At 47.3% G+C, this 25,739-nt stretch overlaps 1 long non-coding RNA gene across 1 annotated transcript, besides 4 other annotated features; it reads left to right on the top strand.

The window, feature by feature from the left end:
* Positions 1,718-1,936: a silencer, noted in NCBI's record as "fragment chr7:119835-120053 (GRCh37/hg19 assembly coordinates)". NCBI's record gives its function as "represses an EF-1alpha promoter that drives an FKBP-Casp9 reporter gene in an ReSE screen in phorbol 12-myristate 13-acetate-treated (for megakaryocytic differentiation) K562 erythroleukemia cells {active_cell/tissue: K562(+PMA)}" and the evidence as "EXISTENCE:reporter gene assay evidence [ECO:0000049][PMID:32094911]".
* Positions 2,340-9,115, top strand: LOC105375114 (uncharacterized). Its single transcript, XR_926959.3, has 3 exons — positions 2,340-2,974; positions 3,710-3,863; positions 5,874-9,115. It is a non-coding gene; the product is annotated as an uncharacterized LOC105375114 (long non-coding RNA).
* Positions 12,381-13,097: an enhancer, noted in NCBI's record as "H3K27ac-H3K4me1 hESC enhancer chr7:108674-109390 (GRCh37/hg19 assembly coordinates)". NCBI's record gives its function as "activates a minimal SCP1, AML or CMV promoter by ChIP-STARR-seq in naive and primed H9 embryonic stem cells {active_cell/tissue: H9 hESC(naive and primed)}" and the evidence as "EXISTENCE:reporter gene assay evidence [ECO:0000049][PMID:30033119]".
* Positions 23,948-24,718: an enhancer, noted in NCBI's record as "OCT4-NANOG-H3K27ac-H3K4me1 hESC enhancer chr7:97053-97823 (GRCh37/hg19 assembly coordinates)". NCBI's record gives its function as "activates a minimal SCP1, AML or CMV promoter by ChIP-STARR-seq in naive and primed H9 embryonic stem cells {active_cell/tissue: H9 hESC(naive and primed)}" and the evidence as "EXISTENCE:reporter gene assay evidence [ECO:0000049][PMID:30033119]".
* Positions 24,719-25,488: an enhancer, noted in NCBI's record as "OCT4-NANOG-H3K27ac hESC enhancer chr7:96283-97052 (GRCh37/hg19 assembly coordinates)". NCBI's record gives its function as "activates a minimal SCP1, AML or CMV promoter by ChIP-STARR-seq in naive and primed H9 embryonic stem cells {active_cell/tissue: H9 hESC(naive and primed)}" and the evidence as "EXISTENCE:reporter gene assay evidence [ECO:0000049][PMID:30033119]".

Here is a 25,739-nt window from a genome sequence, read left to right as displayed (position 1 = left end):
CCCTTTCTTATCACCGCCTTTCCCTGCCCTTCCCCTGCCCCTCTCCACCCCTTTCCCTCCCTCCTTCTCCTTTTCTCCTCCCTTTTACTCCGTCCTCTCTCCTTCCCTGCTCCTTCTCCTTCCTTCCTGCATTTCCTCCCCCCTCCTTCCCTCCTGCCTCTCCTTCCCTCCTCCCTGTCTTTTCCGCCCTCTTCCCTCCCTCCGTTTCTCTCCTTCCCTCCTCCCTCCTCCCTTCCTCTCCACCTCCCACTCCCTCCCTACTCCTCCCTCCCTCTTTCCCATCTTCCCTCCTCTGCTCCCCCAGCCCTTAGCTTCAGAGATCTGAGGTCCTGTTCCTTAGCACCTGGGAAAGCTGGCCCCACAGACCCTCAGGTTCTCTCCACTCACCGACTGGTCCCCTTTCCTGCCAGTGCCTCTCTTGGTTCCCACCCTTCTCCATGGGCAGCCAATTTGCTGTGTTTGACATCTTTTAGTTTGTATGTTTTCTTGAAGAATCGGCCTGACTGTTACGGGTACGGGAGTCACCGTGCTCAAGAGGACCCTCTGTGTGGCCGCGTGCTCGTCCAGGGCGGGGCCTGCCCCACTGCGGAGCCCAGCCTTGAAGCTGCCATCTTTCCACGCTCACACCGAGGGCATTCAGGTTGCCTCCCAGTAATGCTTGGTCCAAGGAGTCCCAGACCGAACAGGAAACTTTAATGCTGATTATACCACATTCATCTTTTTAAAACTTGGTTCTCACTTGCCTCTGATTTGTGCTGTTGACATGTTGTTTAAAAAGCCTTGCCTCGCTCCTTGGCCATGGTTATATTCCCTTATATGAGGTTAAATTTGTAGCTTCACCTGTAGGTGACGGCCATGCCTGGTGTGGCTGGCTGTTGAGGTGCAGGGCGCCGCCGTCCAGCAGAGGCCAGTCCAGGAGCAGAGTCCAGAGGCAGCCTGCAGCCCCTGTCCAGAGGCCCTGAGGGGTCCGGGCCAGGGAGGTGGCCTGGCTGCAAGCCCAGCAGAGCAGGCACGTGGGCAGGACCTGGCCGCAGTCTCACGGGGCGGGCCCCTCCTTCTTCCCCGACGCTCCCCGCTCCCTCCCCACACAGGTGTGCGGGGCTGAGCCCCCGGTGAGTGTAGTGTTTCCAGCCTATGTGCCGGAGTCACCTAGGAACAAGCTCCTGAACTTGCAGCAGAATGTAGCTGCGGACGTTTTGAACACACCGGGGAACAAGCTCATGGATTCACAGCGGAATGTCGCTGCGGACGTTTTGAACACACTGTGGAACAAGCTCCTGAATTCACAGCGGAATATAGCTGCGGACATTTTGAACACACCGTGCAATGTTCTCTTTCTTCATTCATCCTTTTGCCAATTTCCTTAACAAATATTGAATTTCCACCATGACTCAGGCACTCCAGAGTGAACCAGGCCAGACCCTGTGCCCAGGTGCCTGTGCCAGAAATAATTGGGCTCTCCTGGGCCTCTAGGTCAGTTTAAAGTTAAGGGTCCGTGCATCATTGCTGTTAGAAAATTCCTGGAAAAAGTATTTGCATGTCTTTGGGGAAGAGAACCAGAGGAAAGGAATGGGTTTTCTCCCTGGACAGTGAGTGCCCTTCCCTGCGAGTGACCAGGACCAATGTGATGTGGCTGGGGCAGTGGGGCTGGAAGAGGAGTGGCAGCTGTGTTTGTCACAGGCCTGGCTGAGGAATTCTCTGTGGCTCTGAGCCCTCGCTCCTGCTCCTCAGGGGCTCCTGGCCCCTCTCCTGCTCAAAGCTTGCTCCCCCAGAGGGTCCAGGCAGCGAGACCTGGGTGTGGGCCGGCCTTCCCTGCCCTGCCAATGATGGCTGGGTGGTGGCAGAACCCCCTAAGGCCCAAGGAGTTCTGCTCAGTGCAAGACTCATCATCTGGCCACACTGCAGGTCCGCAGGGGACAAGGCTCCAGGCACAGGAAGACCCAGCTCCCATGGCCTGGCCCCCGAAGGCTCGACCCCGGGGACAGACTCTGGGAAACTCTCTCAGCTGGAGGCTTTCCGTGCAGCTGGAGTTTAAACAGCCCAAGGCTCCGGGCTGTCATCTCCGCCCAGGATTAGCTGCTGCTGGAGACTTCCTCTCGTGGGCCCCGTGCTGGGGCTGTACAGCTTCCTACCTCACGCCATCTCTGTGGTCACAGGACGCTGAGTGGAGAAAATAAAACCCACGCAGGGACGGCAACCATCGTGGGGATACGTGGGGCTGCGCTCAGGTCTGCAGAGGCCGAGGCTGGACAGGGTGGGCCCTGCTTCCTCGTCAGCAGCGGGAGCCCCGTGACCCCCAGCACGCGGTTCAGAGTGGAGAAACTGCCGGGTGACCACGCTGAGCTTCCCCTTCCTTCCCCTTGTCCAGGCTCAGCAGGGGCTCTGGGCTGATCCTACTCTTCCCACTGGAGGGAGCCGTGGGTGCTGGGGGCTCTGGGGGCCTCCTGGCCTCTGGGTGGTCGTGGGCTGCTGGCTTAGGGTGAGGGCACCAGGATCCGGGCTCAGGGACGTCTGTGCCCGCCGTTCCCACTTCCCTTCGACCTCCCCCACCTGATTTCTTCTCTGCCCTCCCCTCCCTGCCGCTAAGGAGTCTTTGGCCTCTGCTGATCTTCTTTAAACTCCCTGCTGCAGCGGTTCACGGAAACTTCCCAATTACCACATGATGACACTGGCAATGGCTTCTCACGTTCTCTGTGGCCAGACTGTGCTCAACACTCCAACCATTATCTCGTTTACCTCAGAAACGTCCCTAAGCTGCGGGCAGGGGCAGTGTCGTGGTGACCGTTCCTCCCTTTTCCAGGCGACTAACCTGGGGTTCCAGAGGTCGGCCCTTCTTTGTCCTGGTGGACGGCCTAAGGCCGAGGTGTCCGACCCGGGACCGAGTGTCCCTGTCACAGGAGACTGGCTGACACCTGCATGCAGTTTATTCCAGCCAAGACAGCCACGCCAAAGGACCACGCCGACGGGAGGAGAGGTGGGTTGAGGTGTGCCAGTCAGGTGAGACTCAGGTGGCAACTCCACAAAATGCTGGAGTTAACAGCGTGACTCACAGATCCAGAGAGAAGAGGGCAGCCCCCTCGCAGGGCTGGTGGTGGGAACGGGGCGCTGTCTTGGACGCACACAGCCAGAGGGACAGGGGCTGTGGTCAAAGCCTTCACTGGGGTCCAGGGTATTGCCCAAGCAGGTTCCCACAGGAAGCTCTGGTGGGTGCACTCAGCCAGTGGGCCACAGCCCCACGAGGTCACACTGGAACTGGGAGGGGTCTGCTGTGGGACAGCTACACAGTCCTTGCAGGGTGTGGGGTCTGGGCGAGTCCTGTGGGCTGTCCCATAGCGGGGTGGTCACCAGGAGACGTCTGAGTAAGGCAGGTGTCTGGAGGGACCACCCTGAGATACTGGGGGAAGGCAGAGAACTGGAAACTGTGTCAAGGGTGACTGAGCCCCGATTCTGGGAGGACAAAGCCCCAAATGGGTGCTGAGGGAACACGACATCGTAAGAATTCCGCACAGACGCTTCAGTGCTGCTGATGAGAGAGGGCGTCAGGCTGTGAGCGTGTCAGAGTCTGGGGGGTGTAAAATTATTGCACGTAAATAATCAGGAAACAGCTGCCTAGAATAACCTTTATATTGGAAAGTGTGCTTTGAGGTCATTATGCCAGATTTTATGGCCATTTCTTGGCTGAGCCCTGGGATGGCTTATGTCTTTGCAGAAAGGCATCATCACATTTTATGAATGACAGATGGCTTTTACCACACCTTTGCATGATCGCTTATGGTAATAGGACTGCGGTGCCCTGAGACGTGGGGATCTGCGTGAGTGCCCCCGGCAAAGTCTGCTCTTCCGGCCTCGAATCTGGATCCCAGGTGAGGCCTGAGGGTTTTATTTCTTCCTCTGATCTCCCTGCCGGCGGGGCCACTGTGGCAGGACAATTCGGGGCCCCGCCCCCCAGATGTGCAGGTGCAGGCCAGTCTCGGGGGGATCGGCGGCTCCCGGGGGGCTGTGTCGGGGGGATCGGCGGCTCCCGGGGGGCTGTGTCGGGGGGATCGGCGGCTCCCGGGGGGCTGTGTCGGGGGGATCGGCGGCTCCCGGGGGGCTGTGTCGGGGGGATCGGCGGCTCCCGGGGGGCTGTGTCGGGGGGATCGGCGGCTGCCGGGGGGCTGTGGGATGGTGCCCCCGTCCCAGGGCTCCCGCACGGGAGGGCTTTGCACGTCCACCCCTCCTTTCCTTGACCAAACCCGGTTCTTATCCAGTCTTGTCTCTTCCTTTCTTTCTTTCTAAGCCCCCATGACCCAAGTCGGGGCTCTAGGGTGAGGGCTGCGTGTTCTGCTCCATGCAGCTGTCTGGACACTGCTGGACGAGGGCCTGTCTCCTGCGGGCTCCCACCCATTGTGGCGCAGGTTTACCCAGCCCTGCTTCACCAAAACATGACTTTATAAAGAAGAGTTATTTCTCAAACTGGGAGAAATCACTGCATTTGGTCAAACAATTATATATATATATATATATATATTTTTTTTTTTTTAACACAGAGTCTTGCTCTGTGGCCCAGGCTGGAGTACAATGGCGTGATCTCAGCTCACTGCAACCTCCGCCTCCTGGATTCAAGTGATTCTCCTGCCTCAGCCTCCTGAGTAGCTGGGATTATAGGCGCGCGCCACCACGCCTGGCTAATTTTTGTAATTTTAGTAGAGACAGTGTTTCACCATGTTGGTCAGGCTGGTCTCGAACTCCTGACCTCATGATCCACCCATCTCGGCCTCCGGAAGTGCTGGGATTACAGGGGTGAGCCAGCACGCCCGGCGGATTTATATTTGTAAAATCAGCTCTGCTCTGCTAAACAAATAATTAAAGAAAAGGTGAACACAAGACAGTGTAGACTGTTTAGGTGGCACCAAGAGAACCAGGGCCAGGGGTTGAGCCAGGATGAACACCAGGGGTCAAGGCCACAGCCAGGAGGGCCAAGGTGGGTGCCAGCTGTTGTGGGTGAGGCCAAGCCGGAGTGGGATCAGGGGTGACACTAATCCCTGGAGGAGAGACAAAGAGGGGGATGGGGGCTCAGGGAGTTGGGCCTTGAGGGACTTGCTATCTGATGAAAGGACGGACACGACCCACCAGATGAGGTGGACGGGCCTGGTAAGTGCCTGTCAAGGGTGGTGTGGAACAGAGAGGGGGCTCCTGTCTCACAGTGGGCAGCAGCCCAGCGTCTTTGAGACGGCGTGGAGATGGGCCTAGATCCTAGATGCTGAGAGGAGGCGTCCACACGGCTGAGGGAGGCCAGGCAGAGGCCATAGTGTGGGTGAAGGCCAGAGAATGGGCGAGCTCAGGGAACTGGGGGCCTCGGGGCAGAGCCCGGAGCAGAATGATGGGTGTGGGTGCAGGTGGGGCACAGGCTGGAGGTGTTGGGAAGAAGCCTGCGAGCCTGGTGCTGAGTGCCTGGCTAGCACCGAGTTCACCCGAGGAGCTCCTGAGTGTGGAGGGGAGATGGGGCTGGACCGGGACACTGGTGAGTCCATTCCTGGATGGGCAGAACTCAGCCACAGAGACCAGCCAGCAGGTTATGGGAAAGAGCCCCTGTGGAGGGCAAGGAGGGCGAGGGAGGGAAAAGGGTCTGCTTCGCTTTTTCCCGAGGACGTTGAAGGAAGGGAGAGGGCTTATGGAGAAGAGCAGGCCTCCATGTCCAGAGCAGGAATCCGAAAGTGGAATGTGTTTGCCAGATATTCTCTCTCCTCTGTCTCTCCCACTTCTCTCTGCCTGTATCTCTGTCTCCTCTTTGTCTCTCCCTCTCCCTCTCTGTCTCCTCTTTGTCTCTCCCTCTCCCTCTCTGTCTCCTCTTTGTCTCTCCCTCTCCCTCTCTGTCTCTGTTCTCGCTGCAGGAGCCCGTCCATATCCCTCATCCAGCAAACTCCATGGCCATGCAGGGCTCCTCAGGACACTGCAGTTGTGCCCTGTTTAAAACAATAACTGTTTCTCAAGTTTCTTGGAGTGAAGCCACCATGACCTTTGCAACAGACGAAGCCTACACTTTTTCCAAGTGTGACTCAAAGGACAAAAGGTTCATGCACAAGGCAGTTCTAAAAGTGGATGGGTAATTGCTGGTTCTGCTTCCTGTAAGGATTTTGTAAGATCACACCAAACCCACTCCCTTACAGAAAACAGCTTCAAAATCTGTACACAATGCAAACAGGCTGCTTGTGGGCGTTGGAGAGTGAACAGCAAGACGGACCTGGGGTGTACACGGGGGATAAAGGAGTTGCAGGAAGCACGTTCTCTTTGACCGTGGCTGTTAGCCTGAGCACTATGTAGTTAGGGCATGAGGAGCTGGGGGTCCTCAGGGAAGACCACAGTCTTCATGGCCTGGAACAGGAGCAGGACGAAATTGGGGAAGCTGTGGCCAGTGGAGGGGGGGAGCGTCCAGAAGGGGAAACTTGGCGGACTCTACTCATGTTTCCGACTGGCCCTGAACTGCACACACTCAAAGCAGATAAAAGAAGCCCAGCTAAAGGCTGGTACAAAATGACCTTCTTTATAATGCTGGTTGTGTTCATTGTTCAATATTAATATAGCTGTTCCCGCTTTTTTTTTTTTTGACTAGTGTTAGTACAGTGTATCTTTTAAAATCCCATTAGTTTTCATGTATTTGTGAATTTATATTTAAAGTGGGTTTTGGGTAGGCAGCAATTAGTTGGGTCTTGCTTTGTTATTAAGTCTGACAAACTGCCACTGAATTAGACCAATGGTTATAGATCATTTTCATCTACCATCACTGTTGATAATGGTTGGACTTAAACCACCATCTTGCTATTTGCATTTTATTTATCCTGTCTACTTTTTGTTTCCTGTTCCTCTTAGCCAGCCTTCTTCTGGACTGGGTATTTTTTAATCATCCCATTTAATCACTTCTGTTGGCTTATTCCCCATAACTCTGTCTGTACATATGTATGTGTGCGTGTGTGTGTATACATTTTAGGGTTTATAGTGTGCACCTTCAACTTATCATAATCTATCTTCAAATAATATTACACTACATCATGATGGTTTAATAACCTTACAGCAGCACACTTCCATTCCCTGCCCTCCTTCATGTCCTTGTGGGCACATATTTTATTTCTCTACATGTTCTATACCCAGCAAAACATGCTTTTCCTTCCTGTGCTTCTATCGGGTCTCCTATAATGTCATTTTCCTCTTGTCCAAAGGACTTTCTTTAATATCTCTTAGTGCTTATCTGCTGGTATGATTAATATTTTAGCTTTTATATGTCTGAAAAACTTGATATCTCACCCTGTTTCTACCTTTGTTGCCAGGTACAGAATCACAAATCAACAGGCTTTTCCCGGCAGTACTTTGCAGAGCTTGTTCCACTGTCCTCTAGCTCGCCTCATTTTCAAGGAGAAACCTGTCGTCATCCTTGTCTTTGTTCCTCTGTACCCAGCACGTCTCTTTTCTTCTGCCTGCTGTTAAGATTGTCTCGTTCTTACCCAGTTTAAGCAGTTTGGTTAAGATGTGCCTTCTTCGTACTTCATACTTTTTGGACTGGGATATGTAGCTTTTAAAAAGCAAATTTCAAAAGATTTCAGTCATTATGTCCTCCTTTTTTTTCTGTTTTTTTTTCTTTGTTTTCTTTCTGGGACTCTAAATGTATGAATTTTAGGCCAATTGAAGTTGCCCCCCAATTAGCTTTCTGCTCCTTTTGAAGGGGTCTATTTTCTGTCTGTGTTTCACTTTGGATGGTTTCTATTATATACCTTTAAGTTCATTAATCTTTCCTTTTGTAGTGTCTGTCTAATCTCATCATCTCATCCAGTGAATTTTCTTTATCTCAGAAATGGTTTCATCTCTAAAAGTTAGAATTGGGACTTTTTAATGTTTTTCATATCTCTGCTTAACGTTATCATGTGGAATAGAGTGATAATAACTACAGTTCATCTGTGTCTAGGAATGCCCTCATCTGTGCCATTTGTGAATTAGTTTCAATTTGTTGATATTCCTCATTACATGATGTGTTTTCCTGCCTCTTTGCATACTTGGTGATTTTTTACTGTATGCTAGACATCATGTACTTTTCCTTGTTAGATCCTGGATAGTTTTGCACTCCTAAAATTATTTTAAAACTTTTCAGGGATGAAGTTACTTTACTTGGAAACAATTTGATATATTTGAGGCTTGATTTTAAGCTTTTTTGGGTGGGGCCTAAATTAGTCTAGGACTGATTATGCTCTACTACTGAGGTGATACCATGCTGAAAAAGCTTAATAAGGAGAAAGATCAATCAATAAATATTCACGTATATTCACAAAATATAATGAGGAGAAAAATCAATCAGTAAATATTCACGTAACCCTAAAAAAAGTTAAGAAATGAGAAACAAAGGGGGGAACTGGAGGGTATGTATAGAGAGCGAGGCATAAAATTACAGACCCAGACATAACCATGTCAATACTTATTTAAATATGAGTGGACCAAAGATTTCAGGTAAAACGCAGAGGTTGTCAGAATAGATATGAAAACAAGACCCACACACATGCTGTCTTCCAAAATTGCACTTGAAGAACAGAGACACAGGTAGCTTTAAATGACATTAAAGTTAAAGCATAAACACTGGAAAGGGAGAAGAAGAACTGCCTCTTTATGCAGATATCATGAATCATGTATGAGGAAGTATCTTAAGAAACTTACAAACAACTAGCATAGGCACTGAGAAAGCGTGGTCTACTCATCAACCACAAACAGGAATGAAGCCCTAACATGCCACAATATGGATGAACCTTGAAACTGAAAACATGATGAGTGAAAGAAGACGGACACAAAGGGCCGCATGTTATATGATTCCAGTTATACGAAATGGGCAGATCTAAAGAGGCAGAACGCAGGTTAGTGGTGACAGGAGCTGGGGGAAGGGAGGAACAGAGAGTGACACCTCGATTGATGTGGTGTCTCCTTTCTTGGTGATGCGAATGTCCTGGGGCCGACAACGTGGTGAACGCACTGGATGCCACTGAATTGTGCACTTCAAAATTGTGAAAATAGTGAATTTTATAATATGTGAATTTTACCACCATAAAAACCAAACTATTAGTACAAATAAAATTAGTTTAGCCAAGTTGCAGCATTTAACTTTCATAGAAAAATCGATTGTATGTCTTTGCTCATCAATATACTACCGTGCCACTTATGGTCCTTTTGAAGAAATGAGACAGCTGATGCTAAGATTTACATGGAAAGACAAAAGGGTTAAAATATCCAGAAACAACTTTGAAAAATAAGAACAAGGTTGTGGGGCCCACGCTACTTGATTTCAAAAATTACTATACAGGTATGGTAATCACGACAGTGTGGTTTTGGCATCAGGAAAGACACAGAGGCCAACTGAGCCGAAGGGGAAGTCAGAAAGACCCACATTTATATAGTCCCTTGATTGCTGGTAAAGGTAAAAATTTAATTCTTTCAGAACTAGCTGTTTCAATAAATGGTGCCAGGATAAGTTGATATCTACATGGAAAAACAAAATAACCTTCAAGCCTTACCTCCCACCACATGCAAAATTATCTTGAGATGGATCATGGACTGAAAATTATTAGAACTTTTAAAGTTCTAGAAGAAAACATACAGAAGAATTTTTATGACTTGGGCTAGAATAAACATTTTTTAGAAACAAGATGTGAAAGCACAGATGATAAAAAATGATAAAACAAATTCAGCAAAATTGAAAAGGTTGCTCAAAATTAAACAGAGTTAAGGGAATGCAAAAGCAGACTACAAACTGGCAGAATAATTTTACAAAATCCACATCTGACAATGGGCTTGTACTCAGAATATATGAAGATATCTTATAAATCAATAATTTGAAAACTGCAGTTAAAAATTGAAAAGGACTTGGACAAATACATGACAAAAAAGATATATGACCCATAGGCACATGAAAAAATGATCAACGTCACTTGCCATCAGAGGAGTACACATTAAAAGCAGTCTAAAGTTAAAAAGATTGACAATACTAAGTGTTGACAAGGATATAGAACAATGGGAATTTACATACAATTTAAATTGGAATGCATGAAATTTGGTTGGAATTTTAAATGGAAATACTTTGGAAAATGGACTGACACTATCTAAGAGGTAAAACATTCACTTACCACATGACCCAGCAATTCCAATCCTAAATATTTACCCCAGGAAAATGAAAACATATGTCCACACAAAGACGTGGACACAAGTGCTCACACCAATGTTATTTGTAATACATCCAAACTGCAAACAGCCCAAATGCCCATCAACAGGCAAGTTGGTAACCTACGGTGCATGCATATTATGAGATACTACCCATTAATAAAAAATGAACAAAATATTAAGCCTACACGACATGGATAAGTCTTGAAATCATCAAGTTAAGTGGAAGAGATAGAGTACTGTTCCATGTCTATGAGCTTCCAGGAAAGGCAAAGTTACAGGGACAGGAATCAGATCACTGTCTGCCTGGGGCTGGGAGCTGGAGGAGGGAATCTAAAGGGGCAGGAGAACACTTTTTAGGAGAATGAAATGTTCCACATCTTGACTGTGGTAGATGTTACATGACTGTATACAACTGTCACATGAATGGGCTTTACTGTTTGTGAATGAAACCTAAACAAGCTAGCGAAAGAAACAGAAGGAGCATGGGCCGGCTGAAGCCGTGTCTGCAGGTGGGTGCTGGAGGCCCTGGAGCCGCGTGGCACAAGCCACAAACCTCAGGTGTCTCCCGTGGGTGGCTGGGGAAGATTAAGGCAACCCTCAAGAAGCCCACCAAGGCGCCACTGGGGGCTCCTGTCTTGGGGCTGTGTGGGGCCAGCCTGGGGAGGCGGGAGCCTCATAAGAGTCCCCTGAAAGCTACTTCATTTCCAAGCAGAGAAGGGGGTGGGGGTGGGGGGTGCAACACAGAAGGGTCTTGATGGAGAGGGTGTCTGCACAGCACAGTGATTACAGCCCAATCAGGGGTCAGACTTCCTTCGTGGACAGCCTGGTTCTCACCTGCATTCGCTGTGTGACCTTCAGAAAGTGACCTACCGTCTCTGTGCCTAGTCTGCTCTTTAGTAAAAGATGGCTAATGAAGTGGCTACCTTACTGGGCCCTTGAGAGAATGAGATGAGAGAATACAGGTACAGCACTGAGAGCAGCACTGGGATACAGTAGGTGTTCATAAATGGCACCTGCTATCATTATTAGTGATCTAGGAATAGGACCTTAGCTTAAACCCCACTGTGAGAAAAAGGGAAAAGCAAGGAGGAGAGGCTTGTCCAAGGCAGCAATCCCATCTTCCAGACACCAGGCCAAGAGTTCTGGAGCCCGAACACAGGCGTGGCAGAGAGCCTTTGCTGCCCTTCCCCTGCCCACGGGGCGGAGGGGAGATCTCGGGCCCCACAGCTCCTGAGCAGGGCTCGGGGGTCACCCTCAGTGCTGGCAGGGAGTGCGGAGTTGCTTTGACTCACTCAGGAGTAGGTTTGAGCCCTGGTTCCTTTCCTTATCACTCAGAGGCCGATGGCGCAGTAGCTGCCTGAGGAACACACAGCCTTTGCAAGTCTTTGGGAAACAGGAGAACTGTCTTCCTTTGTCCGAGAAGCACTCAAGCTGACGGACAGTGGTGCTGCTACTTGCTGCTATTTCTCTCCAAACTTTGGGACTGCGGCCACAGCGGCGGCCACAGCTGTTATTCCTTGTGTCTGCCAAGGGTCTGAGAGTGGCCTGGCGATTCAGCTGTTCCCTGCCCACAGCCCACCCTACGGGATGGGGCCAGTGATGTCGGATCCCTGGTGGTCCTGGTTCTGGCTATCGCTGGAGGGGACACAGACTCCACCTGCGTTGAGCGTGCCGCTCCCTGTGTTCTCCATCTCCATGTTCCCACCTCTTCCTGCTCTTTTCCCCGTGCTTTCAGCTACCTAAGGGTCGCCACTTACCGTCCCTGCAGAGTGCAGAGATTTCTCTTTGAAGAAAAGGTTCTGGAGCAATCAGAGGGGTGAGTGTGGATGCAGCCAGCCCCAGCCCTATGCTGCTCCTCAGACTAATGGTGCTGAAGGCTAAGAGAACGAATAAATGGTAGTGAGCGTTTTTCTCATTAGGGTTTTAAAATCCTCCAAGTAATAGATCATTTTGTAGCATCTTACATGTCCTGCTTATCCTAATAATGTGTTATTACTGAATCTCAATAATTTTAATGGGGAAATTCTTTATCTTAAAAAATGTGAAGTGGCTATCCATTTAAAAAGTGTTAACGAGGTAACTCCAAGGGTTTCAATGAACAAGGAGGCCCATAGCTGTAGTGACCCAGTGCCTTCGTGTTTTAGACACTAGCTGAGATCTGCACACTGGAGCCATGGCCGTGGAGGGAGCAGTGACCAGGACCTGCCTCCCGCAGTTGGGGGCCTTTGGTGCTCAGCCCAGGCTTCTGTGCTGGGATGCAGGGCCAGTCTGTTCACACAGACCAGGATAGGCCCTGGACGCGTGCACAGACAAACCCCCACAGGGGTTCATTTTATCTGGGGTGTGGCAGGGAATCATGAGCTGAACAGAGATGCTGGATGCCGAAAACAGCCTCTGTCCCTGCCTCTCTGCCAGCGCTTGCTGTTTGCCTGGAAACAATCCCTCTCCTTCCTTGGCTGCAGTTTTCTCACCCATGAAGACGTGTTCAATGCAGACGTACCGAGTTTCCTCTGGGTCTTCCTGGTTGCCTGGCGTCTCCAAGTGCTCATTTCTCTTCCTTGCTCTTGCCCACCCCACGGGCCCTTCCCCCGTGAGCGAGCTTCACAGACACACACAGACACTAGTGGTTTGGGGTCCTTAGTTGAGGCCATCTTAACTGGCTTCCCTCACCTCCCGAGTGGCAGGCTAGGAGGAAGCGGTGGTTTATTACAGGGACAGATCACACTGTGCCAGGGAAGGCCAGGAAAATATATTCCCATTTTACTTCCTCTAATAATCTCCTATTTTCATCAGTGGGTGAGTGAACATGGCTTCTTCTTCCCAATGATGGTGCAAATGTATAATTTCTCCCAATGAAATCTGATTTTAATGAGAGACTAAATCAGAGGAAAGAGTATTATTTAGATAGTATATGCACATGTCAGGTTAATTTAAAATCAGCTTTTAGGTCAATCTATCTTAATTATTCTATTAACCGTTTTTGACTAGCAATTCCAATAATTGTGTTTGCGTAATACTTGGCAGTGTAATTGCTTTTTGGATTCTCTTCATTGTTTTGTCAGAGTCTGTTCCTGGGCCTCTGTCCCTGGTGAGCTGTGCTTGGGTTGAGTGTGTGCTTGGGTTGTGTATGCACATTCGTGCAACTGCACATGTGCTTGGGTTGAGTGTGTGTGTACAAGTGTGTGTGTGTGCACATGCTTGGGTTGAGTGTGCAGATGGACGTGCATGTGCATGCATACCTGGGTTGTGTGTGTGTGCACATGTATGTATCTGCTTATGTGCTCTAGTTGAGCATGCATGGGTGTCTATGTGCACATGTGCTTGGATGGAGTGCATGTGTACATGCACATATGTGCAGAAGTGCTTGCATAGTGTGTGTGCATGGGTATCATGTGCATGTGTGCTTGGGTTGAGTGTGTGTGCACATGTGTACATGGGTGCATGTGCTCAGGTTGAGTATGTGCATGTGCACACGTGTTTGGGTTGACTGCATGGGCATGGGCATGCAATGCATATGTGTTTGCATCATGTGTGTGCACAGAAGTGCATGTGCTTGCATTGTGTGTGCATGGGTATGCATGTGTGCACGTGCTTGTGTTGAGCATGTGTGCATGTGCTCAGGTTGGGTGTGTCATGGGTGTAAGGTGCACACGTGTTTGGGTTGACTGTGGGCACAGATGCACACATGCATGCATGCTTGGGTTGAGTGTGTGTGCACAGGTGTGCATGTGCACATGTGCTTGGGTTGAGTGTGTGCCTGGGTGTCATGTGCACGTGTGCTTGAGTGTGTGCATGGGTGTCATATGCACATGTGCTGGGGGAGGTGCTTCCCTGATTATTAATGAATGTATTTTCATGGGGTTTATTGATATCAAGGACCCCTGTCTTTATTTTTTATTTTTAAAATAAACTTCATTTTAGAACATTGTTAGATATAAAGAAAAATTGTGATGATAGCACAGAGTTCCTGTATACTCCACACCCAGGTTCCCCTACTCTTACCCTGTCACATTATACTGTACCTTTGTCACAGTGAATTAGCCCATGTCGATACAGTAGTAGGAACTAAAGTCCATACTTTATTCACATTCCCTCAGTTTTCCCTTAATATCCATTTTCTACCTCAGAATCCAAAGTATGATGTTACAGTTGGCCCTCATGTCTCCTTAGGGCCCTCGCAGCTGTGACAGATTCTCAGACTTTCCTTATTTTTAGTGATCCTGACAGTTTTGAGGAGGACTGGTTGGGTATTTTGTGGAATGTCCCTCATTTGGGACTTGTCTGATCTTTTTCCTGTGATTAGTTTGGGGTCACGGGTTGTGGGGAGGATGGAAAGTGACCTTCCCACAGCATCACACCAACGTCCTTGCTGTCTGCGTGACTTGTCACCGGTGATGTCAACCTCGGCGATGTGGCTGAGGCAGAGGTTTCCAGTTTTCTCCACTGTAAAGTTGCTCTTTTTCCCTTTTCATACTGTATTATTTGGAAGGAAGACACTCTGCAACGCTTATACCTTTAATTGTTTATTGATGCATAACATTTTACATATTTATGGGGTGCATGAGATATTTGGATACGCGCATGCCATGTGTAATGATGGAATTGGGGTATTTAGGACGTTCATCACCTCGAACGTCTATCCTTTCTTCATGTTGGGAACATTTCAAATCTTTTCTTCTCGCTATTTCAAAATATACAGTATGTTGTTGTTAACTATAATCCCCTCACTGTGTTATCAACACTAGAACTCACCCCTCCTACCAAACCGTTTATTCGTACCCATTAACCACCTTCTCTTCATTCCCTCCACCCGCCCCCCACTATTTTTTAAACAGCTTTACTGGGTTATAATTCACATACCATGCAATTCACCCATTTAAAGTGTACAATGGTTTTCAGTATATTCACAGAGTTCTACAGCCATTACTACAGTCAATTTTAGAAAATTTTCACCACCTCAAAAAGAAACTCCACACCCTTTAGCTACTCTCAGCCACCAGCCCTGCCCCCACCCCCAGCCCTAAAGAACCACAAATCCTCTTTCTGTATCTATGGGTTCTGCACGTTTCTCAAAATGTAAACATATAGTGCGTGGTCTTTTGCGACTGGCTTCTTTCACTTCGCATAATGTTTTCAGGCTCATCCACCTTGTAGCCTGTGTCAGCACTTCATTTCTTTTTTCTTTTTCTTTTTTTTTATAAGTACTTCATTCTTTTTCATGGCCAAATAACATCCTGTTGTACGGATACACCACATCTTCTGTAGCCATTCGCCAGTCACGTGTATCGGGGCTGTTTCCATTGTTTGGCTTTATGAGTGGTGCTGCTACAAACGTTTGTGTTCAAGTTTTTATTTGGATGTACTTTTTTGTTGTTTGTTTGTTTGTTTTGAGACAGTCTCGCTCTGTCGCCCAGGCTGGAATGCAGTGGTGCGATTTCGGCTCACTGCAACCCCTGCCTCCTGGGTTCAAGCGATTCTTCTGCCTCAGCCTCCCGAGTAGCTGGGACTGCAGGCATGTGCCATCACGCCCAGATAATTTAGTATTTTTAGTAGAGATGGGGTTTCTTCATGTTGGTCAGGCTGGTCTCGAACTCCTGACCTCGTGATCTGCCTGCCTCGGCCTCCAAAAGTGCTGGGATTACAGGCATGAGCCCCTTAGCCTGGCTGGATGTATGGTTTTAATTATCTGGGACGCACACCTAGGGGGGGATTGCTGGGCCATGTGGTCACTCTATGTTGAACTCATTTTCAGCGCCTTTTCATTGTTTTTGTCTGCACTATTTTCTTTCCCAAAGAAGGTTCCTGTTTCTTAAGTCCTTGTCAAGACTATTTTCTGTCTTTTTGAGGATCACCCTCCTAGTGTATGAGGTAGCATCGCCCTGTGGTCTTGATTTGCTTCTTCCTAATAACTAATGATGTTGAGCATCTTTTCTTGCACTTACTGGCCATTCGTACATCTTCTTTTGAGAAGTGCCTATTCAAATCCTTTGCCCATTTTAAAATGGGGTTAATAACCCTTATTTTATTTGAGTTTTAAGTGTTCCTTACATATTCTGGATATGAGTCCCTTATCAGATACAGCAGGTCCCATTTACCTGGTGTCCTGGTTTCCACAGTTTCAGTTACCTGTGGTCAGCCATGGCTTGAAAATACGACATGGAACTGTGCATTGTTCTGAGTAGCACAGTGAGACCTTGCTCCAGCCCAAGCTATCCCTCCCAGCTGTGAACCATCCCTTTGTCCACTGTATCCACACTGTATAGACTGCTCCTTCCTTAGTCGTTACACTGTCTGCTCCTGACATCCAGCCATTGCTCATCATGGCTTGGTGATCCTCCTTCCGATCATTCATCGGAAGGTCAACAGCATCCTAAGACAATGTCACAATGCCTGCGTGATTCACCTCACCTCACCTCACCTCCTCCCGGAGGCAATTCCGTCATCTCACATGATGACAACAAAGAGGGGTGAGAACAGTACAATAAGGTATTTAGAGGGGTGAGTACAGTACATTAAGGTATTGAGAGAGAGAGCGATAGAGAGGTCACATTCACATAAGTCTTATTACGGCATATTTTTATCATTGTTCAATTTTATTATAGTTATCCTTGATAATCTCTTCCTGTGCCTAATTTATAAATTAAACTTTATCACAGGTATACATATATGGGAAAAAACAGTATATACAGTGTTTGGTAATCTCTGTGGTCTCAGCCATCTACTGGGGGCCTTGAGATGTATTGCCTGCAGATAAGAGGGGATTACTCTAGAAGATTTCCTAATATTTTCTCCTTTTATGTGGGTTATCTTTGCACTTTCTTAATGGCATTGGTTGTAGCACAGAAGTTTTTAATTTTAGTGAAGTGTCATTTATCTCTCTTTTCTTTTATCACTTGTGCTTTTGGTGCCATATTGAAGAAATCATTGCCAAACTCAGGCCATAAGGATTTCCTCCTATGTTTTCTTCTAAGAGTGGTTTTGTATGAATCCATTAATATGCTGTATTACATTGATTGGCTTTTGGATATCAAATCAACCTTGTGTTCCTGGGATAAATCTCATCTGGTTTTGCACATAATTCTTTTTATATGTTGCTGGATTTGATTTGCTAGTATTTTGTGGAGGATTTTTGCATTTATATTCTTAAGGATATTGGTCTGTGGTTTTCTTGTAATGCCTTTCATCTCAAAGTATTTTCTAATTTCCGTTGTGATTTCTTCTTTGATCTGTTGGTTATATAACAGTGTGTTGTTTATTTTACACATTTTGGTGAATTTCTCAAATTTCCTTCTGTTATTGATTTCTAACTTAATTCCATTGTGGTTATGGAGCCCACTTTGTATGATTTCAGTCCTTTGAAATTTATTGAGACTTTCTCTGTGGCCCAACATGTGGTTCTTCCTGGAGCAAGCTCCAGCACACTTGAGAAGTGTGTGTGCTCTGCGGTTGCTGGGTGGAGTGCTCTGCGGATGTGGTTGCTGGGTGGAGTGTTCTGCAGATGCGGTTGCTGGGTGGAGTGCTCTGCGGTTGCTGGGTGGAGTGCTCTGCGGATGCGGTTGCTGGGTGGAGTGCTCTGCGGATGCGGTTGCTGGGTGGAGTGCTCTGCGGATGCGGTTGCTGGGTGGAGTGCTCTGCGGATGCGGTTGCTGGGTGGAGTGCTCTGCGGATGCGGTTGCTGGGTGGAGTGCTCTGCGGATGCGGTTGCTGGGTGGAGTGCTCTGCGGATGCGGTTGCTGGGTGGAGTGCTCTGCGGATGCGGTTGCTGGGTGGAGTGCTCTGCGGATGCGGTTGCTGGGTGGAGTGCTCTGCGGATGCGGTTGCTGGGTGGAGTGCTCTGCGGATGCGGTTGCTGGGTGGAGTGCTCTGCGGATGCGGTTGCTGGGTGGAGTGCTCTGCGGATGCGGTTGCTGGGTGGAGTGCTCTGCGGATGCGGTTGCTGGGTGGAGTGCTCTGCGGATGCGGTTGCTGGGTGGAGTGCTCTGCGGATGCGGTTGCTGGGTGGAGTGCTCTGCGGATGCGGTTGCTGGGTGGAGTGCTCTGCGGATGCGGTTGCTGGGTGGAGTGCTCTGCGGATGCGGTTGCTGGGTGGAGTGCTCTGCGGATGCGGTTGCTGGGTGGAGTGCTCTGCGGATGCGGTTGCTGGGTGGAGTGCTCTGCGGATGCGGTTGCTGGGTGGAGTGCTCTGCGGTTGCTGGGTGGAGTGCTCTGCGGTTGCTGGGTGGAGTGCTCTGCGGATGCGGTTGCTGGGTGGAGTGCTCTGCGGATGCGGTTGCTGGGTGGAGTGCTCTGCGGATGCGGTTGCTGGGTGGAGTGCTCTGCGGATGCGGTTGCTGGGTGGAGTGCTCTGCGGTTGCTGGGTGGAGTGCTCTGCGGTTGCTGGGTGGAGTGCTCTGCAGATGCGGTTGCTGGATGGACTGCTCTGTGGTTGCTGGGTGGAGTGCTCTGCGGTTGCTGGGTGGAGTGCTCTGCAGATGCGGTTGCTGGGTGGAGTGCTCTGCGGTTGCTGGGTGGAGTGCTCTGCAGATGCGGTTGCTGGGTGGACTGCTCTGTGGTTGCTGGGTGGAGTGCTCTGCGGATGCAGTTGCTGGGTGGAGTGCTCTGCGGTTGCTGGGTGGAGTGCTCTGCGGATGCGGTTGCTGGGTGGAGTGCTCTGCGGTTGCGGGGTGGCGTGCTCTGTGGTTGCTGGTGGCGTGCTCTCATGCTCTGCAGATGCCGGCCAACTGATCCAATCTGACATTTCTTTGTTGATCTTTTGCCTACTTGTTCTACTCATAACGAAAGTGTGTTATTGAAGTCCCCAGTTTGTTGCTGAACCGTAGTCTTGCCTTTTTCCTCAGACTTAGAATCTGTGTCGAAACTTCTTGATGGGAAACATGTGATTGGCTCTCAGGTCTCAGCCTCTGCTCTCCCCATTACATGCCTGGAACATCCTGAGGGAGCTCAGAGCAGACAAGGCCCCGGCTTCACGCTTCAGATATGCTTCCATTACTCCCACCTTATAAATGAGGAACTGAAGGGCAGAGGGGTCCAGAGCACTGCTGAGGACAGCTGGCTGGCTCAGAGCTGGACTCGAACCTAAGGCAGCTCAGTCTCAAATTTATGCCCAGCGCCATGTTGGTGCATGCCCTCCTGGGGTAGCCAGAGAGTGTCATGATTACACCAGAGATGAAGTAGTCGGAATATGGACCCACTCCTAAGCTGCTGTGTGGGCTGCTGTGTGGGGAGTTCCAGAAGCGCACACACCAGTGGAAAAATTAAATGTGGATTTTTATGGTATCCCATCTGGCTTCTGCCACCTCCCAGGCGTGGATCTGCTCACAGCCAAGTGACCTCCCATCTGCAGGCTTCTCCCAACGCGGCTCAGTGGTGCCTCATCTGGACCACGAGTCCTCTCCACCCCAGGTGCGCTTCCACGGATGCCCTTGGACTCTCCTGCCTGGTCTTCCCACCGCTCACCCTGGCCTCTCTCCAAAATCCCCCATGGCTGCCTTTCTCTATCATCTGGCCTCAAAACCTCAGTCATTCATTCAAAGCCCTTTGTAATCCAGACCTGACTTGGGTCACAAATCAGCAAGTGTATCCATGACACCAGTGACCCTCAGGCCCCACTCTGTGGCTTTGGTGAGTGACAGATGACTGTTGAGTGACTAAGCAATGGTGCAATTGAAATTCCAGGGAATGAGACCCATTTGGAATTTCCTGAAGAAACAAACCCCCAGGCACAGGAAAGAGGCATCCGTGCATGTTTGGCTCCCTTTTGCCTTGAAATCCACGGAGCTCCGAGGCTCTTTCCGGCATGCTGGCTGTACACAGGGCCTTTCAAGGGCAAGGAGTCCTCAGCTTTCTGGGTCTCCTTAATGAGCCTGAGGCCTGCTGCCTGCAAGTGCGGCCCCTCTGTGCTTTTGCTGGCTGTTTGTGAAGTCAGCCCTGCCTTTAATAGGCCTGCTTGCAATTAACATGGAATATAATACTGAAGAAAATGCTGTAAAGCACTTGGCCTCTCAGGAGCATAACACTAAATGTTGATGCTCAAAGGCACTAAACAACGTGCATAATTAGGCAAATAACTCTCCCCTAGTTTCCAATGCAGAGAAAGGAGGGAAGTTAAGGAGGGTGTGTGTTCAAGCCTGTTGGATCAGTGATGCTAGGGAGAGGCCTGGAGCTGGCTTCCTAGGGCCCAGGGTCCCGTGAATGACTGGGGTGAAGCAGCCTTGCCATGTGCCTTTGGAACACCCTCAGGGAAGGGTCACAGGGAAAGGGCACACCTAGGTTCCTCAGGCAGGTGCAGCTTACAGCTTTCCAGGCTGATCTCTATCCCTGGTCAGAAGGGAATGGCAGACCCAGAGAGGAAACAGACCTGCCCAGGCCCGCGGAGATGGAAGAGACTCGATTCTCCTGCAGATGAGGCTTGAATCTGTTGGGTCCTTTGGGAAAGTAGGTCTGGAGAACTTCAGGGTGCAAACAGGACGCAACCATGCAGAGTTACAGTTTTTCTCATAACAGGGTGTTGGATTTTCTCAAGTCCTTTTTCTCTATCAATTGAGACAGTCGTGTAGTTTTTGTCCTTCATTATGACAGTGTGGCAGATTATCTTGATTGATGTTCATATTTTGAGCCATCCTTCCATTCCAGGAGTAAATCCCACTTGGTCAGGGAGTATAATCCTTTAATGTGCTACGGAATACAGTTTGCTAGTATTTTGTTGGGGATTTGGCATCAGCAGTTATCGGGAAAATCGGTCTGTAGTTTTCTTTTCCTGTAGCTTTCTTGTCTGGGCTTGGTATCAGGATAATGCTGGCCTTATACATTGAGGTTGGAAGTGTTCCTCTTGTTTAGCTTTTCAGAAGAATGTGAGGAGGATTGCTGTTAATTATTTAAATCCTTGGTAGAATTCTCCGGTAAAGCCATCTGGTCCTGGGCTTTTCTTTTTTGGGAGATTTTTGATGACTAATTCAATCTTTTACTAGTTATAGGTCTTTTCAGATAATTATTTGTTCATGATTCAATCTTGGTAGGTTGTATATTTCTAGGAATTTTTCAATTTCTTCCAGATTACCCAATTTGTTGGTATATAGCCATTGTTCATGACATTCTCTTACAATATTTTTTATTTATGTGGCATCAGTTGTAAGGGGCCTCTTTCATTTCTGATTTAATTGAGTCTTCCCTCTTTTTTTCTTAGCTAATCTAGCTAAGAGTTTCTGTTAATTTTGTTGATCTTTTCAAAAATCCAGCTCTTCAGTTTGTTGATTTTTCTATTGTTTTCTATTATTGTGTTTATCTCTGTTCTAATCATTACCATTTCCTTCTTTCTGCTAATTCATGTTTAACTTGTTCTTCTTTTTCTAGTTCCTTGAGATGTAAAGTTAGGTTGTTTATTTGAGATCCATCTTCTTTTTAAATGTAAGTTTTCACCTCTATGAATTTCCCTCTTAATACTGCTCTCATTGCATCCTATAAGTTTTGGTATGTTGCGTTTTTGTTTTCATTTGTCTTGAGATATTCTCTATTTTTCCCTGTGGTATCTTCCTTGATCCTTTGGTTTCTTAAGAGTCTGTTTTTAAATATTCACTAATTGTGAAGTTTCCCGTTTTCCTTCTGCTGTTGATTTCTAGTTTCATTCCTTTGTGATCAGAACATATATTTTCTATAATTTCAAACTCTTACATTTGTTAAGACTTGTTTCGTGGCCGATCATATGGTCTCTCTTGGAAGATATTCCACGTGCCCTTGGGAAGAATGTATTATATATTCTGCTGTTGTTGTGTAGAGTGTTCTATATACGTCCGTTAGGTCCAATTGGTCTATAGTGCTGTTCAAGTCCTTTGCTTCCTTACTGGTCTTCTATCTGTTTCTTCTATCCATTGTTGAAAGGCGAGTATTGAGGTCTCTTACCATTGTTGTGTTCCTGTTTATTTCTTGTAGACAGCATATAGTTGGATCTTCTTTTTTTTTTTCTTTTCATTTTTAATCAACTCAATCTGTCTTTTGATTAGGGAGTTTAATTAATTTACATTTGAAGAAATTACTGGTAAGGAAGACTTACTACTGCCAATTTGTTAATTGTTTACTGTATGTTTTATGGCTATTTTGTCTCCATTTTTCCTCCTTACTCCTTTCCTTTGTACTTTCAAAATTTTTTATAGGCCAGGTGTGGTGGCTCACACCTGTAATCCCAGCACTTTGGGAGGCTGAGGCAGGCAGATCACGAGGTCAGGAGTTTGAGACCAGCCTGACCAACATGGTGAAAACCCATCTCTACTAAAAATACAAAAATTAGCCGGGCATGGTGGTGCACACCTGTAATCCCAGCTACTCAGGAGGCTGAGGCAGGAGAATCACTTGAACCTGGGAAGCAGAGGTTGCAGTGAGCCGAGATTGCACCACTGCGCTCCAGCCTGGGTGACAGAGCAAGACTCTGTCTCAAAAAAAAAAAAAAATTATAGTGACATGCTTTGATTTCTTATTTCCTTTTGTATGTCTTCTATAAATATTTTCTTTATATTCACCTTGGGATTACATAAAATATCTTAAAGTTATAATGATCCATTTTAAACTGATAGCAGTTTAACCTCAATTGCACTCAAAAACTGTACTCTTTTACACCTTCACTCCCCTACACTTGGCTATTGACGTCGCAAATTATCTCTTTTATATTGTGTAACCATTAACAGAGTTCTATGATTATTTTTAAATGTTTTCATCTTTTAAATTCTATACAAGAATTAAAAGTGATTTATATACTAACATTATGATAGTACAGGATTCTACATTTGTCTATATATTTACCTTTTCTAGAGAGTTTCATATTTTCATGTAGTTTGGGATTGCTGTCTAGTGTCCTTTTATTTCAACTCGAAGAACTCCTTTTAGCATTTCTTGTAGGAAATATCTCGTGGTGTTGAATTCTCTCAGCTTTTGTTTATTTGGGATGATTTTTGAAGGATAATTTTGCTGGATATAGTGTTCTTGGCTGACTGTTTTTACTCTGATAGCACTTTGAATATATCATTCTACTCCCTTCTGGCCTACAAAGTTTCTGCTCAGAAACCCACTTATAATCTTATGGGAGCTCCCTTGCACTGATGAGTTGCTTTTCTCTTGCTGTTTTCAAGATTCTTATTTTGTCTTTGACTTCTGACAGTTTGATGATAATGGGTCTCTTTGGATTTATTCTAGTTGAATTTCTTGAACTCTTATGTCCATTCTTTTGCTCAAATTTGGGAAGTTTTCAGCCATGATTTCTTCAAATAGGCCTTCACCTCTTTCTCTCTCTATTCTGGAACTCCCATAATGTGTGCACAGGCATATCTTTTATTATTGTGCTTTGCTTTATTGCACTTCACAGACATTGTGGGTTTTTTTGTTTGTTTGTTTTTTTGAGATGAGGTCTTGCTCTGTCTCCCAGGCTGGCGTGCAGTGGCATGATCTTGGCTCACTGTAACCTCCACCTACCAGGCTCCGGAAATCCTCCCACCTCAGCCTCCCAAGTAGCTGGGACTGCAGGTGTGCACCACCACGCTTGGCTGATTTTTTTTTATTTTTTGTAGAGACAGTGTTTTGCCATGTTGCCCAGGCCGGTCTCAAACTCCCGGACTCACACAATCTGCCTGCCTCGGCCTCCCAAAGTGCTGGGATTACAGGCATGAGCCACCGTGCACAACTGACATTGTGTTTTTGTTTTGCAAATGGAAAGTCTGCGGCAACTCTGCATCCAGCAAGTCCACCAGTGCCATTTTTCCAACAGCATGTGCTCACTTCTTGTCTCTGTGTCACATTTTAGTACAATTTATAATAATAATTTTAATTTTCTTTATTGTTATATATGTTATAGTGACCTGTGATTGGTGATCTTTAATGTTACTATTACAATTGTTTTGGAGTGCCATGCGCCTTGCCCATACCATATCAGATGGTGAACTGAATCGATAAATGTTATGTATGTTCTGACTGCTCCACCAGCTGGCCATTCCTTCACCTTTCTCCCTCTCCTTGAGCCTCCCTATTACCTGAGACACAATAATATTGAAATTAGGTTAATAGCCCTACAATGACCTAAGTGTTCAAGTGAAAGCAAGAGTCACACATCTCTCACTTTAGGTCAAAAGCTGGAAGTGACGTTAGTGAGCTTAGTGAGGAAGGTGTGTCAATAACCAAGATAGGCTGAAAGCTAGGCCTCTTGCTCCAAGTAGTTAGCCATGTTATAAATGCAAAGGAAAAGTTATTTAAGAAAATTAAAAGTGCTCTTCTAGTGGACACATAAATAAGAAAGTAAAACAGCCTTGTTGCTGATACGAAGATAGTTGTAGTGGTCTGTGTAGAAGATCTAATCAACCACAATATTCCATTAAGCCAAAGCCCAATCCAGAGCAAGGTCTTAACGCTCTTCAATTCTGTGAAGGCTGAGAGAGGTAAGGAAACCACAGGAGAAAAGTTTGAAGTTAGCTGTTCATGATGCTTAAGAAAAGAAGCCATTTCCATAACATAAAAGCACAAGGTGAAGCAGCAAATGCTAATGTAGAGGCTTCAGCAAGTTCTCCGGAAGATCTAGCTGAGCTGCTTGATGAAGGCGGCTACACTAAACAACAGATTTGCAATGTAGATGAAACAGCATTCTATTGAAATAAGATGCCATCTCGAACTTTTAGAGCTGAAGAGGAGACGTTAATACCTGGCATCAATTCTGCAAAGGACAGACTGACTGTCTTGTTAATTACTAACGCAGTTGGTGATTTTAAGTCGAAGCCAATGCTTATTTACCATATTGAACATTCTAAGGCCCTTAAGAATTATGCCGCATCTACTCTGTTTGCACTCTATAAATGGCACATAAAGCTTTGATGACAGCACATTTGTTATAGCACGGTTTACTGAATATTTTAAGCCCCCTGTTGAGAACTATGCACAGGAAAAAAATGTCTTTCAAAATATTACTGGTTATTTATAATGCAGCTGGTCACCCAAGAGCTCTGATGAAGATGTACTAAATTAATATTGTTTTCATGCCTGCTAACACAATATCCATTTGCAGCCCATAGATCAAGGAGTAATTTTGACTTTCATCTTATTATTTAAGAAGTACATTTCTGGCTGGGCACAGTGGCTCACGCCTGTAATCCCAGCACTTTGGGAGGCCGAGGCGGGTGGATCACGAGGTCAGGAGATCGAGACCATCCTGGCTCACACGGTGAAACCCCGTCTCTACTAAAAATACAAAATATTAGCCGGGCGTGATGGCGGGCGCCTGTAGTCCCAGCTACTCGGGAGGCTGAGGCAGGAGAATGGCGTGAACCCAGGAGGCAGAGCTTGCAGTGAGTGGAGATTGCTCCACTGCACTCCAGCCTGGGTGACAGAGCAAGACTCCGTCTCAAAAAAAAAGAAAGAAATACATTTCTTAAGGCTATAGCTGCCGTAGATAGTGATTGCTCTGCTGGATCCGAACAAAGCGAATGGAATGCCTTCTGGAAGTAGTTCACCACTCTACATGCCATTAAGAACGTTCCTGTTTCATGGGAGGAGGCAAAATATCAACATGAACAGGAGTCTGCAGGGATTTAATCCCAGCCCTC

Source organism: Homo sapiens, chromosome 7 (genome assembly GCF_000001405.40).
Source record: "Homo sapiens chromosome 7, GRCh38.p14 Primary Assembly".
NCBI classification, from domain to species: Eukaryota; Metazoa; Chordata; class Mammalia; order Primates; family Hominidae; genus Homo; species Homo sapiens.
This window is presented reverse-complemented; position numbering and strand designations above follow the sequence as displayed.